General features: G+C 37.7%; 3 protein-coding genes across 6 annotated transcripts in view; 2 read left to right on the plus strand and 1 right to left on the minus strand.

The window, feature by feature from the left end:
* The window catches only part of FPGT-TNNI3K (FPGT-TNNI3K readthrough), a 346,187-nt gene that overhangs the window by 298,780 nt on the left and 32,588 nt on the right, over positions 1 to 14,819 (plus strand). The gene's annotated exons all lie outside the window — the stretch shown is intronic.
* TNNI3K (TNNI3 interacting kinase) overlaps positions 1 to 14,819 on the plus strand; it is a 309,042-nt gene that overhangs the window by 261,635 nt on the left and 32,588 nt on the right. The window lies entirely within an intron of this gene.
* LRRC53 (leucine rich repeat containing 53) overlaps positions 1 to 14,819 on the minus strand; it is a 67,704-nt gene that overhangs the window by 27,646 nt on the left and 25,239 nt on the right. The gene's annotated exons all lie outside the window — the stretch shown is intronic.

The following is a 14,819-nucleotide window of genomic DNA, read 5'->3' on the forward strand; positions in this document are numbered from 1 at the left end:
TTTGGGATTAATTTTTCACACTACAAAAGGGTCCATCAAAGGTTTCTTTAAATAGCTTGCCTAGTGCACTTAGAATGGAATGCAGTTTATAAAAGTTGAATATAACTTATAAAATTTTAATTTACTCAAAGTTTTTCTGGGTTACAACAATTGTGTAAGATGATAGCACCATGACACTGATGTTCCTAGGAAGAATGAAGAAGGGAGAGCAGCAAGGGGACCGTGTCCATTTGCTTCAGTATAGCAGATGTTTACCAGATAACAGTGGCCATGTCTCCTCCTCATCACCCCAGGTCAAATACTCCCCTCTTTCATCTACCACCTCTCTTGCACTCTTTTTTGTACTAAAATTTTCAAATATTCCCTTTTCTTCCAATCTTTCTATCCTCTCTCCATCCCTAACTTCTTGTCAACTCACCACAATCAGCAATTTCAGCACCTTGCTCATGACCACTGTAAATGTTCTCAAACATTGCTTCCTCTTTCCATGGGTCTTCTTGTTGTTTCTACAATCCCATGGCTTCAACTCACACCACATACATGCACACACACACACACACATACACATGCACACACACACATCTACACACACATACATTCCTCCACACACACAATTGAACCCCAGATCATTTATTCAGCCTTGACCTCTCTGCTTCCTAGCGTTTGCAACATCTTTAACTTCTCTCCTGTTCCAGCTTCCTCATGCTCTAACCCACCTACTACCATCATAATTTTTATTATGTAGAACTCCAATTCTAATTATATTATTTGCATTAAAACCTTCAATAATTCTCCATTGCTTCTAAAATTAAGTGAATTCCGGAGTCCAATTGATTCAGGAGTCCGAAATCCTCAGTGATACACGTTTTCATCATACGTTCCAGTGGTTCTAAACAGAGAGTGATACTGTCGCTCTCTCTCTTCTCAGATGCATCCTAGGCTTTTTGAACTGTGGGAGGCTTTTTTGTTTGTTTGTTTGTTTGTTTTTGTATTCCCAAGGACTAAAGAGATGCTATTACCATTTAGTGAGCTGGGACCAGAATGTTGAGGTTTCTCCAATGTTTTGGGCAATCTCAAAAAACAAAAAATTATCTTACACAAAATGACAATAGCATTCTTGGAGAGGAAAACTACAGACAAACTAGAAGTTCCACTAGTTCCCATAAACACCCCATGTTTATCCTACCATCAACCTATCACTGTATCTTAACAGTTTTTTTAACCTTGACATCCCCCTTATCTTGTCAAAATATTAACCAGCCTTCAGTAATTATCTCAATCAGCGTAATCACTATGTCATGAAGAAGTATTTTCTGGGGGCTACCCCATCTCGATTCATGCCTCACTAAAGACCACAGCACTCTGTGCCACGTTATAATTCATGTTATTTTTTCTTATGTGTCTTATTCCCTATTAGATCATAAATATGTTAAAAACAGAAATTCTCTTCTTTTTTGTTTTGTTCAGGTGCCTACAATATCTCATTTATTATTTAATTGCATGTGGTGAATATTAAATATTTTTATTTATAATAAACTAGGAAAATTATTAGTTAGGCTGTAAATACCAGGCTTTGTATTTCTGCAATTTAAGTGAGTAAAACTCTGGCATTCAGATTTTTTTGACTCCTACATTCCTGTCAAGTTCAAATATATTCTCATCCAAAAATAATGAACTACTAGATATTCCACTACTTTTCCAGTCTTCCCCCCGACTATTAGCACACTAAATGTCAATATATTTCTTTTTTAATTACTAAAAGGATAGAATATAGGTGACTAAGATGTGTGAGGAGAAAAGTGACTACCACATTCATTCCCTGTGTGTTTTTTAAAAAAAATTTTAATATTTAAAACTTCTATAACAAAAGGTAATGTTCCTTCAAAGGTAGATTTCATGTGCAGAGCATTAATATGACGCTTATTTTAGCATGAAATAAAAGCAAAACATAATATTCTGATAAATACACCAATTATTGACTCATTCATTTTATATTCTATTAATGTGAATCTTCATTAGAGAAATGAATAAATAAACAAGCAAACCAACAGAACAATGGACAGAAACATCCCAGGAATGCAGGTGCGTGCACACTGGGTTACAAGGGACAACCAGCATGCATTTCCCTTGAACTCAGGGTCTTTACTTTTCCTGCAAATGGGACCATGTCTGATTATTTATTATGGATGAACACTTTACCTAGAATTTTTCCTTGGCTCAAGCAATCCTCCTGCCTGAGCCTCCTGAGTAGCTGGGACTACAGGCATGCGCCACCATGCCCAGTTAATTTTTAATTTTTATTTTTGTAGAAACAGAGTTTTACTATGTTGCCCAGGCTGGTCTCCTAAGGTTAAATGATTCAGCTTCCTAAAGTGCTGAGATTATAAATATGAGCCACTGCACCAGGCCCCACAATAACTTTTATTAAAGTATGTTGTTGTAATTGTTCTATTTTATTATTAATTATTGTCAATCTCTCATTGTGCCTAATTTATAAGTTAAATTTTATCATAGGAATATAGGTATAAGAAAATATTATACTGTATATTGGATTCAGTAATATCTCCAGTTTCAGGCATCCACTGGGGGTCTTGGAATATATCCCTGGTAGATAAGAGGGGAGGGGGCTACTACAATTTTTATACTCAGCTTGTATTTCCCACCAAAAAAATGAGATTTTGATTATAGATATTTAAGCCTATAGGTCAATATGAAAAGATCTGACATCTTTATAATATTGAGTTCCCCTTACCATGAATGTAGTACATTTTTGCATTTATTTAGATGTTCTTTAATATCTTTTAGTAAGAGTTTACAATTTTCTTTATGGGGTTCTTATATACCTTTTGTGTGATAAATAGTTACATCCATTGTGACTGCTGAAATCGTTTGGACTAATTGCAAACATATTATTTTATTCTGTCTAGTATTTTTTCTCACCCTATCTTTCTATCTTTTTTCCTTTCCTTTGATTATTTGAATATGAGCTATATTTCTATTCTTTGGTGAGTACCCCAGAAGCTTTAATATATTATTTAAAATAACTAATTATATTTTTAATATGTTTGTCTTATTCTTAAATGAAAGATCTTAGACCATTTTAATTAAAATCATTCTCTCCTGACCTCTATAATACCTCTTTATTTTAATTTCCAGTATTTTATCTTCATCAAGATTTTATAAATTCCATAATGATTTCATTGTTTTATACAACTATGTTTTATTTAGGCTTACCTCATGTTTAATGTTTCATTGTTTGTTATGGTTACATTTCAAATCTTTCTTCTAGTATCATTTTTCTTTTCCATAAATGCACCTTTAAAAATTATTTAAGCCTTGGGAGGCCGAGGCGGGCGGATCACGAGGTCAGGAGATCGAGACCATCCCGGCTAAAAAACGGTGAAACCCCGTCTCTACTAAAAATACAAAAAAATTAGCCGGGCGTAGTGGCGGGCGCCTGTAGTCCCAGCTACTTGGGAGGCTGAGGCAGGAGAATGGCGTGAACCCGGGAGGCGGAGCTTGCAGTGAGCTGAGATCCCGCCACTGCACTCCAGCCTGGGCGACAGAGCGAGACTCCGTCTCAAAAAAAAAAAAAAAAAAAAAAAAAAAAAAAAAAAAAAAAAAAAAAAAAAAAAAAATTATTTAAGCCTCACTCTGTTGGAAGTAAACAAATGAAAAACACTTATCTTCCCTCTTTTTTAAGATATTTAGTAGATAGAGGATTTTAATTGTTCAGTTACTTTTTTCCCTGCACCTTCAGGGGGAAAATGCTATTCCATGTTTTACTTTCTTTGTTGCTGTTAAAATTTCATCTATGAATCTAATTGTTATTTCTTTTGTTTTTAATCTGCCTTTTAAAACTGCTTTTAGAAGTCTTCTTTATCTTTGGTATCCTACAGTTTAATTATGTTGTGTATAGATATAAATTTATGTTTATTTATTTTACTTGTGATATATTATGTTTCCAGAATTTGAAAATTGACATCTTTCATAAACTCTGGATAATCCTCAGCTGTTGTCTCTTCTAACATTTCTTTATTACTTCTTCTTTAGTATCTCTTTCTGGAATTCTAGTTGGATATTTTTTAAAGTTTCTCACTCTATTTTCCACATTTCTCAATCTCTTTTTAAAAAATATTTCCCACCCTTTACTTTCTCTATCCTGCTTTCTGGGTAATTTTTTCAGATCTGTCTTCCAATTCACTTATTCTCTCAGAAGCTGGATTTAATGTGTTGTTTACTTTGTTCATTGCATTTCTAATTCAATTTATTTCTAATTTATATTCCAGTTCTAGAAGTTGCATGTCATTTACAATTTTACAGGAGAGTTTAAAAAAAGCTGTAGACCTGCTCCATACTTTTCTTCTTTTATTTCTTCAAACGAATTTTATCTGGAGACATTAATACCTCAAGACCAACCAAAACTTCAACTTGGAGGGTTTTTTTTGTTTTGTGTTTGTTTGTTTGTTTGTTTGTTTGTTTGTTTTTTGAGACTGGCTCTGTCACCCAGGCTAGAGTGCAGTGGCACAATCTCAGTTCTCTGCAACCTCTGCCTCCTGGGTTCATGCCATTCTCCTGCCTCAGCCTCCCGAGTAGCTGGGATTACAGGCACGCACTACCACGCCCGGGTAATTTTTGTACTTTTTTAGTAGAGACGGGGTTTCACCATGTTGGTCAGGCTGGTTGTGTATTCCTGACCTTGTGATCTGTCCACCTCGGCCTCCCAAAGTGCTGGGATTACAAGCATGAGCCACCGCATCCGGCCAACTTGGAGTTTTTCATAGAACACGTGTAGTAATAATTCTGCTTTAAACTAGCTTGTATGTGGGCTGGCAGATGAGACTTCTGAGGGTTATATATATATATATACATTTTCTTTTTCTCACTTTACCTGGAGCCAGGAATAATGTAAGATATTTATCCTCTGCATATCTTTATGTAGAGTGAATTTTATTTTTTCTGATTTACCTAATCTGGATGTTGCCCTTTGAAGATTTTGGCTTTATACAGGTGTTTCTTATCTGACCCTCCACCTTGCTTGGACCCATGATGTATCTCTACCATATAATCTATTAAAATTCATGCTATAGGTCAACAAGAGTCAGTATGAGAACTTCATAGCACTTATATTTACTTGGAGTGATAATCTTAGAAAATCGTTTTCTTTTATATTCATACCCATAGTAGATTGTAAACATCATGCAGGCATAAAATGTCTCTCCTTTTGCTGCTGTTTCTCCAGTACTTAGAACAGTGCCCGGTACATGGTAGGTGCCAAACACCTATTTGTGATGTACATGAACATAATGACTTCCCACAAACATGATGCCATTGAATTCAACAATCTTGTGAAGTATGCCTCATGGTTTCTATTTTTTAGATAAAACAGAAACTCAAATAATGTAAGCAATGCATATAACTATTTAGTAGAAAAAATGGTAGTTCATAATTTAATTTGGGCCTGTCCGGTAGTGTTTTCATTACATCATGCTATCTCTGGAGACTTAACTTTGCCAACATGTTTGCCAACACCAGAACGTTATGTCAAGTTTGGGCTTTGAAGAGAATCAGCAGGGAGCTATCCAGAGTACTGAACTACCTCGCACTTAAACTGCCAGATCTAGTGGAACATACTTCCCTCTGTCTATGGCCAATAGCCTTTGATTGGAGGGAAATTTCCCTTCTCACTCTAACTCTGATAGTAGCCACTTTGCCTCAGCTTATGCCTCCTGAAGAAACACTATAAATCACCTGCCTGTGCTGATACAGACCCAAACTGAACACAACTCCACAGCTGCTGCCTCGTTCACAGGCGTGCCGTGGACTCCCTCTGTATCTTCTTCAAAACAGCCTCTCCCAAACAGCCTCACTCTCTGACCACATTTGTAAAAGTAGCGACAACCAATCAGAGCACATAAAAGGATGAACTTCTTCCTTCTAGGAACTTAACTGAAGTGACACTTGTGGACTAGCTTTGAGGATAGCTCTACTTCAGCATGATTTCTTTATGGAACTGAGTACACTGTAAAATTAGGCTCTTCTTTTCACTTCCTCATTAAACGTACTCTCCACTGTGGTAGCCAAATGCAGTCAATGAATGAAAAAAACAACAACAATCTTTTAGCTGACATTTGTGGGCAACAATTGACTTTCTGGTGATGAAAGTCCAAGAGTTTTTCAGGGCCAGAAATGAAGAAAAAGACCACTCTTTCTCATGCATAAATACAATAGGGAATCAGCATCTTTTAGCTAATTCTACTTAGAAATAATTTTAATATTTATAAATTTAATAAAACCAAAAAGGGTCTTTGGCTTTCTAACTTATATTTTACTTATTCAAAGAATGCTGATTTGAAATATGATATCTATAGAATTTACAAAAGACTGTAGTGCTTATTGGAACATTATATTAGTATCTAACCCTCACTTCAGCAGTGTCTTCTGAGCTTGTAGGAAGAGTTGTCTTTCTTACTCAGTGACACTGTTGACTTAAGTTCTATGGATCTTGTATGTATAATGAGGAGAACAAGATGTTGCTTGCCTAAATCTAGGGACAAGACCATTTTTTTTTAGGATAGCTATCATCTCTGAGACGTAAAATTTTTATGACATGCACTTCCTGAACGTCAGTTATCAAGCTCATTAAGGGCCTGCAGTGGCAAAATATAAAAGGCAAAGGAGAGAAGCTAGAATCTAAGCAAGTGCCACGATGCCTATCAGTTGCCTTTTATCTCTTTCTTTTTAAGCTCATAACTTCTTGAAATGCCCATAGGTTTTACTAATTAACAAAATCAGAAAATCTCCTAATGTTGTGGTGGTATGGGGCTGAAAAGGGAAATATATAACTATGCATGTTGATGTGACAGTGTGAAAGTGTTTGGTATACCTCATTATGTTCCTGAATGCCATCTTATATAGATGGGAAAATTAAAGAAAGTGGGGAGTGGTCTTTCACAAAGTTAAAACTATCTCCATGAAGATCCAAACAATAAACACAGCCATTTACTATATTTACATAACACCTCTTCACCGCATCCCTAGGTGCATACCCAGACAGCACTATAGTGAAATATACAAGCAATTCCCTTATGCACACATATACACGAAAAGTGAAAGGAGGGCTATAAATTGATTGCTAGTGCCCTCTGCATTGCATGCTTCTGGTATCTTACAAATCACCAGAATTGGACATAGTCTGTGATGAAAGGTGATAGGGCTCTATGTTAAGAACTCCTTTTCGGCTGATGTGGACTAAAGTAACCATGTTAGCTGCTTGTTTTTAGCTGCCTTGCTCTCTAACGCCATCTAGCAGTCAGTTGCCAAACCACGAGTGAGGCCTCCTCCAGCCCTCCTGAATGCTGTACTAAGGATAGAGGCTTGGAGACTTCACGCCGAACAAAGGTGTGCAGCCTCAAAGTTGAGGAGCATGTGAAAAATGTCAATCTTTTCCTTCACTTTTAAAACCACCCTTAGTTTGAAACAGCCTTTCGCCATGAAAAATGTAAAAGAAAGAACATCAAACAAAATATTCTGTTCAAAAGAGGAGGTGATGAAAATGGAAAATTAATAAAAGTCAAGATATGAGAAGAGCCCTACGTGTGTAAAATTGACACCTTTAAAAAAAATTTAAGTACCTGGATTTATTGTCACACATAAAAGATTTGCATGAAAAGAGTGAGCGAGTGACATATTTAGGTTACAACATATCCACCTGAGAGAGAGAATGAGATGCAGCTCTCACCGTGGCTATTCTGATGCTGTAATTTCGTGTTCTTTTCTATCCGTCAGCAGTGCTTGTTAGCGACCTAAAATGCACTCCCTCCTAACCCAAAGGGCGAGCCAGAGTGCATTTCCCTCTTCAAGCGTTTTGTAATACTAATTAACTAATTCCCAGCCACATGAAGAGAACCTGCGAAGATTCGCCGGAGGCAAACTGCTAAATAAATGGTGACAGATTTCTCAGTTTTCAATTAGATGAAATGACATATTGGGACAACGAATGGCCTGACTTTCTAGTGATGAGAGTTCTATGAGGTTTTCATTCCTGAAAATGAAGAGAAACCCTCTCCATTCATACACAAAGGAGGGCCCGGGCCCACTCTTAAGCACATCAAAGCACACAGATCCCGCCTTTGGCAGTTGCGTGTGTGTACAACTGAAAGTAAGACTTGGCCCAAAAATGCTGCTTTTGAGACTGCTTCTGCTGTCCTGAAATATCTGACAGGACAAGCACAGGGACCAAAGAGAACAACCGGCCTAATTAAATCTATACAGGCAGCACTGTGTTCTGTTCATCCTCCCTGACTCCAGCTCTGGCCTCGCCCTGCTCCCTCCTGACTCCAGTATTTGTGTTGCGAAGCTGAATCTCTTGCTAGCATGGCAACTGTTGCTATGTTCGCAGCAATAAGAAGTGGGTGATGCTGGTGTCTCTGTAATGATTCAGATACAAGAGCAATGATTTCTAAATAGATTTCTGAAGCAGCTCTTACAATGGCTCTGAACAGTTTAACAGGTTTAATTCCTCATGGATTGTTTTTTCTTTTTTTCACCTTTAACATCTTCCATGTGGACTATATCTAAACCTCATATAATGCAAAAATGGCATCGTTCTTCCTTTTGCTTACTCGTATTTGAAGCAGGAATTTTCTTGTAAAAAAACACATTAAACCAGTTGTCATTTCTCATTATCTCCTTGGAACCTATGAGATGGAGTTTTTCTTGATATTTAGTTAATGGCAACTAACGAAATCTGAAAAAATACTGGACCCAGGAAGAAAATAACTCCTGAATTAACCAAAGTGGAATGAAAATCTTCACCATTAATATTTGTGATATTAGCTGAACATTTTTTATTAATGTGCAGATGTTTTAAAGGCCTCATCTGCAAACGAGTACAAAAAATTTACTAGTGGATATATGTTTGCCACCCTGACTTCTCTTTCAAAGAGAAAGTAAAAAAATGAAATCACTTTTTGTTTTTTTGGCCTTCATCAGTCTCTTATTTGCCAGCCCAGCCAGTGTTAACTATGCCACTAAGTGTCACCAGATGCTAACACAGCCCGGGTCCTAGGGGGATATGATGTAGATAATATTGCCATGTGCACTGATGGCAATACAGACCTGGCCAAAGGATAAAAAGAGAAGACACGTTACATGTTTTGATCTGTGACATAGAACAGAAATGTGTATTCAAACATAGACACTTAGTATGTTCTAGACGCTATTGTGCATTTTTTGTATGCCTGTCGTAGCACAGACTTATTACAACTCTTCTACAGCTAAGAGTTATTTATCAGTATTCTACAAATGAGAAACTGAAGCACAGAAAGTATAAATGGCCTGCCCAAGGCTTTGTAACTAGTAAACAGCAGGGCCAAGATTTGAGCCGAGATCAGCCTGATTCCAAAGCCCATGATTTTTTTACTACTTGCTGAGCTGCTATAGTGTGAGACAAGAGAGCTGCTCTCATACTAATCAGTTGTGTGACATGAGCAAATCCCTTTCTGCCCTGGGTTTTAGGATTATCATCTATAATGAGGCATTTGAATTGGATGCTTGCTATTCAAGCTGTGACTCACAGACCAGCAGCTCTGGCATCACCTAGGAGCTTGTTAGAAATGTACAATCTCAGGCCCCACACCGGACCTGCCGAATCTGCATTTTAACAAGATTTTAACAGGCGACTTGCAAATATACAGTAACCAATCTCTGGGGACCTTTTAGTTTTAGTGTACTGTATTTAGAATGTCACCTTGCTCTTATCTCTTTCTAGATTTTTTTCCTTCTCCAAGGTTGTTTTACTGCTCCCTATGAGCATTCCTAATCTCATTCTTACACTTGATGGAAAGATTCACTGTCTTCTCGGAAAAGATTTATCTATCTTAATTCATTTACCACTTTCTACTTGGTATCATGTCTCTGTTGAATAAGTTTCTTGAGGGGGAGAGCCATTCATATTAAATAATTTCATATCTGTAATACCAATTGACAAGGTTCATTAAACTAAAGAAAATATATTGAAAGGAATGTTGAACAAATTATTATCTTAATTTAGTTACAAATATTACATAGTGTGCTGATCGCAAGATCCCTGTATTATTCATTACAAATATTTCAAGGCAAGCACAATCCAAGTTCTTTAAATATAGGTCCAGGAAAATTTGCAAATATCACACATGATGAGCAGTTTTTAAATTTCTTCACCCCCCCCCCATCTTTTTAACACAAAAATACATAAAGGATTCAATTAAGACCAAGTTCAATCCCAATGTCTCCTCCTGTAGGAAGTTGTCCTAAATACCCTCAACTAGTTACCCATCATGTTTGCTGTTACTATATTCTGTACAGATCCCATCAGAGAATAGAAACATTATTGTAATTATTGATGTCTTTGTATGTCAATTGCCATACACACACACATGCGCACGCACTTACACACAGAGTAAGCTTCTTGAAGCCAGGAACTGTGTCTTTCATTTTTGCATTGTTCATATTTATCACAATGCTTGGCATATAGTGTGATGGATATATGTGTATTGAATGAATGAATGAATGACTCAATCAATACAAATCTTTCTGGCCCCAAAGTCTCTTTTTTGCTTTAATGTACTTCTTGTTCTCCTTCACATTAGGATGGTTCACTGACACCAACAACATGGAGATGCACAGTTCTATGGTGAGAATTTCAAAGAACTTGTTTTAGCCATGTTGGTATTCCCTACTAATATGGTACTTTAGTGTACTATGGCATGAGCTACCGTCATCCAGGAACATGGGCTCTGAGACTTAGGAACTTAAGTACCTTTGAAATTACAAAGGCTGAAAATTGAAGCAGCGTTTGTATTTTTTCCTCTCTGGTTAGTCAGGTGTTCATTCAACAAACATTTGCAGAGTCCCTATATTGTGCTGGGAGTTTGCCAGGAACCAAAGATGCTGAAAAGCAAACATAGTATAATATTTCTACCTTTAAGTAGTTTGTATGGAAAATAGACCCCAAATGTATTATAATGCAATGTGATTGTATACAATGACGGGCACACGACTCTAGTGTATTCTAACACAGACGGAGGCATTACTAAGAAAAAGGAGAGGCAGGCATGTGGATAGCTTCTTGCAAAAGGTGGCCTTGCCAAAGAGATGCAGAAATACCTAATGTAAATGATGAGTTAATGGGTGCAGCACACCAACATGGCACATGTATACATATGTAACAAACCTGCACCTTGTGCACATGTACCCTAGAACTTAAAGTATAATAAAAATAGTAATAATAATAGCCATCATAAGTGTAACCATACTGAGTTCTTATTTTGTACCAGATAACAGGCTATGGTACTTTAAATGTGTTATCTCATTTAATCTTCATAAAAATAAAGAAGGTATTATGATTTTTTCAATTTCACAGATGAGAAAAAATAAAGTCCCCAAAATACAAGTGGCAAATGCCTGATGTAGGACTTAAACCTGGCCAGAGTAGTTCTAGAACTGGTGAATCTGGACACCAAACTCCACAAAAGACAGAGAGAAAAGGGTTAAAAAATAGCCCACAGGCCAGGAGGCAGACTGCATTCAGAGGATAAGTAGCGAATCAGTCTGCCAGAGCGGTAGCATGGGAGACTGCACACAAACTGAGAAAACCAACAGCAAGCTATAGGTCAGAGCCCAACCCGGGGCATATGTCTGGTAGAAGGGAGGCTCAGGAGGAAGGGTGCTTTGCTGATAACATAAGTGGGAGTTAGTGTGCTATACTGGGAAAGAGCTTGCATCTTGAAGCCAGAGGTATGTGTTCTAATCCCACCTCTGCCTTTAAGAACAGTGTAAACTTGGGCCTCAGTAACTAAAATAGGGACCATAATATTACCTTGTCTGGTTTTTACAGGGTCTGCAGAAAATTCATATAAAACACTTAATATCATCCCTGAGAAACTTATGTTGTTTTGTTTTAAACTAAAGATAAATGTCCCTATTTCACAGTTCTACCCACGGATGGATAAACCCCTTTCTGAGGGTGAGAAATGAAAGCCTGTGTCTATCTGAAATTCGGGATCCTTATTCAGACACTTTCTTCTTCTTTTTATCACTTATTCTCTTTGAGATAGTAGAGCACTCCTTTTTCCTCATTAAATAGCAGCTTTACCCATAAATTTCTCACAGCTTTTCCTTACTTATTTACACTACTTGATTGTCAAATTTGACAGTGTTGACCATTCCTCAGTCAAGTTGCCATTTGGAATAACTTAAAGGTTTCTGGATGTTTTCTACCCAGCAGCTATTTATGACAATGACAGAAATCAGGAAAATGACATTTGAGGGTTTCAATTTTTCTCTATAATCCCTGAAAATAAAGCGATAGTCAATTGTGAATGTGGCTGCTGAATGCTAGAGTACTACATAACAATAGAAAAGATTTAAGATGCTTGAGAACTAACAAATCTAAATTTATTGGTTTTACACAAATGAATGATTTTCATTTTATTTTAAAAATTGTCCTTTATTGTTTAGGGCAAGATAAATCGTATACTCTTTTCTTCAATAATATTTTATCAGATTAACATAGAGGACAATGAATTATGAAATTATGAAATAAATAAAATTGAGGACAAAGCACCAATATTAAAATGTTGATTGTTGTTTTTGTCATGTCATATATGTTAAGGAATAGAGTGTTGTGTTTGATTTTGAAAGGTACCTATGAACTGCTTTCTGGTTTTGAGTGATCTGAATTTCTTTTTTTTTTTTTTTTTTTTTTTTTTTTTTGAGACAGGGTCTCACTTTGTTACCCAGTACAGTTGTGCGATTATGGCTCACTGCAGCCTCAACTTCCCCAGGCTCAGGTGATTTTCCCTCCTCAGCTCCCCAAGTAGCTGGAACTACAGGCATACGCCACTGCACTTGGCTAATTTTTGTATTTTTTGTAGAGACAGGGTTTCACCAAGTCACCCAGGCTGGTCTTGAATTCCTGAATTCAAGCGATCTGCTTGCTTTCCAAGGTGTGAGCCTATGCGCCCAGCTTGAATTTCAATGTCACAGATTTTCTATTGCTTGTGTATTCTTTGGGTATTTTATTTCTTTTGTAAAAGGTAGACAGTTCTGAGTTTAAACATGACTTAGAGATGTTTAACTACATTTCTTACCCCCTGATTTTTACTTCCTGAGATCAGTAGTAGAGAGGGCAATCAGTTCTCACCTTTTAAAAAGATCTGAGGCCAGGTGCAGTGGCTCACGCCTGTAATCCCAGCACTTTCGGAGGCCGAGGCGGGCAGATCACGAGGTCAGGAGATCGAGACCATCCTGGCTAACATGGTGAAGCCCCGTCTCTACTAAAAATACAAAAAATATTAGCCGGGCATGGTGCCTGGCGCCTGTAGTCCCAGCTACTCAGGAGGCTGAGGCAGGAGAATGGCTTGAACCCGGGAGGTGGAGCTTGCAGAGAGCCGACATCGCGCCACTGCACTCTAGCCTGGGTGACAGAGTGAGACTCCGTCTCAAAAAAGAATAAAATGAGAAAAAAATTATTGAGAGATTGTCAAATCTCTTGAATTTTTAAAAAATTATTGCTCATTAAATTAAACAGCACCTTGTCTATAATTTGTTCAAAACTACCAACTACCAGATCTATGTGTTATACTTTGTTAAATAAACTTCCGTTTCTCTTTGGGAAAGACATATATAGGATCTTGAACAGTATATAAAGTTTAATTAAATATGGCTAGCATTGAAAAGTTCATGGAATTAATCAACTAGCTCACAAATGTGTGTTGATTTCCCTCTAGGTACACAGCACTGTGTCTGCCCCTACCCAGAGAGGCCCAGTATTTTGATAGCTAGTCTTGTATTCTTGTATAAAGAGTTTTAGCAAACTGAATATGCTTTTTTTCTTTTTTGAGACGAAGTCTCACTCTTGTCCCCCAGGCTGGAGTACAATGGTGCGATCTTGGCTCACTGCAACCTCTGCCTCCCAGGTTCAAGTGATTCTCCTGCCTCAGCCTCCCAAGTAGCTGGAATTACAGGCGTCTGCCACCATGCCCAGCTAATGTTTGTATCTTTAGTAGAAACAGAGTTTCACCATGTTGGCCAGGCTGGTCTGGAACTCCTGGTGATCACCTCAGGTGATCCATCCGCCTTGGCCTCCCAAAGTGCTGGGATTACAGGCGTGAGCTACCGTGCCCGGCCTATTTTTTTTTTTTCCGAGATGGAATTTCGCTCTTATTGCCCAGGCTGGAGTGCAATGGTGCGATCTCGGCTCACCACAACCTCTGCCTCCCGGGTTCAAGCAATTCTCGTGCCTCAGGCTCCCGAGTAGCTGGGACTACAGGCACACGTCACTACACCCTGCTAATTTTTGTATTTTTAGTAGAGATAGGGTTTTGCCATGTTGGCCTCGAACTCCTGGTCTCGAACTCCTGACCTCAAGTAATTCACTCTTATTTTCTTTATTTAAAGAATTAACAATATATTACTTACAGGTGGAAAACACAAATGTATGTGTCATTTTCCCTATTACGCTAGCCTCTTCACTGATCTAATTCCATTGGATATGCATTTATCTATCATTTATTAAGCAGCTCTTATATATTGAATCATGTAGTAAATATTGGACACCCAATGATGGATTAGAGATCTCTTCAGTCCTGGGGGAATTCACAGTTTAAGGGAGGAGGTCAGAGAAACACACAGGAAGATAAGTACTGAGCCATGTGTAGGAAGCCCTGTGAGCCTGAGAAGAGTCAAGGTAGGCTTCCCAAAAGCCATCCCGTTTCACTTGAGTTTGGCAGAGTTAACCAAGCAGAGAAAGGAAGAAAGAGTGTACTAGGAAAGGG

Source organism: Homo sapiens, chromosome 1 (assembly GCF_000001405.40).
Source record: "Homo sapiens chromosome 1, GRCh38.p14 Primary Assembly".
NCBI lineage: Eukaryota > Metazoa > Chordata > Mammalia > Primates > Hominidae > Homo > Homo sapiens.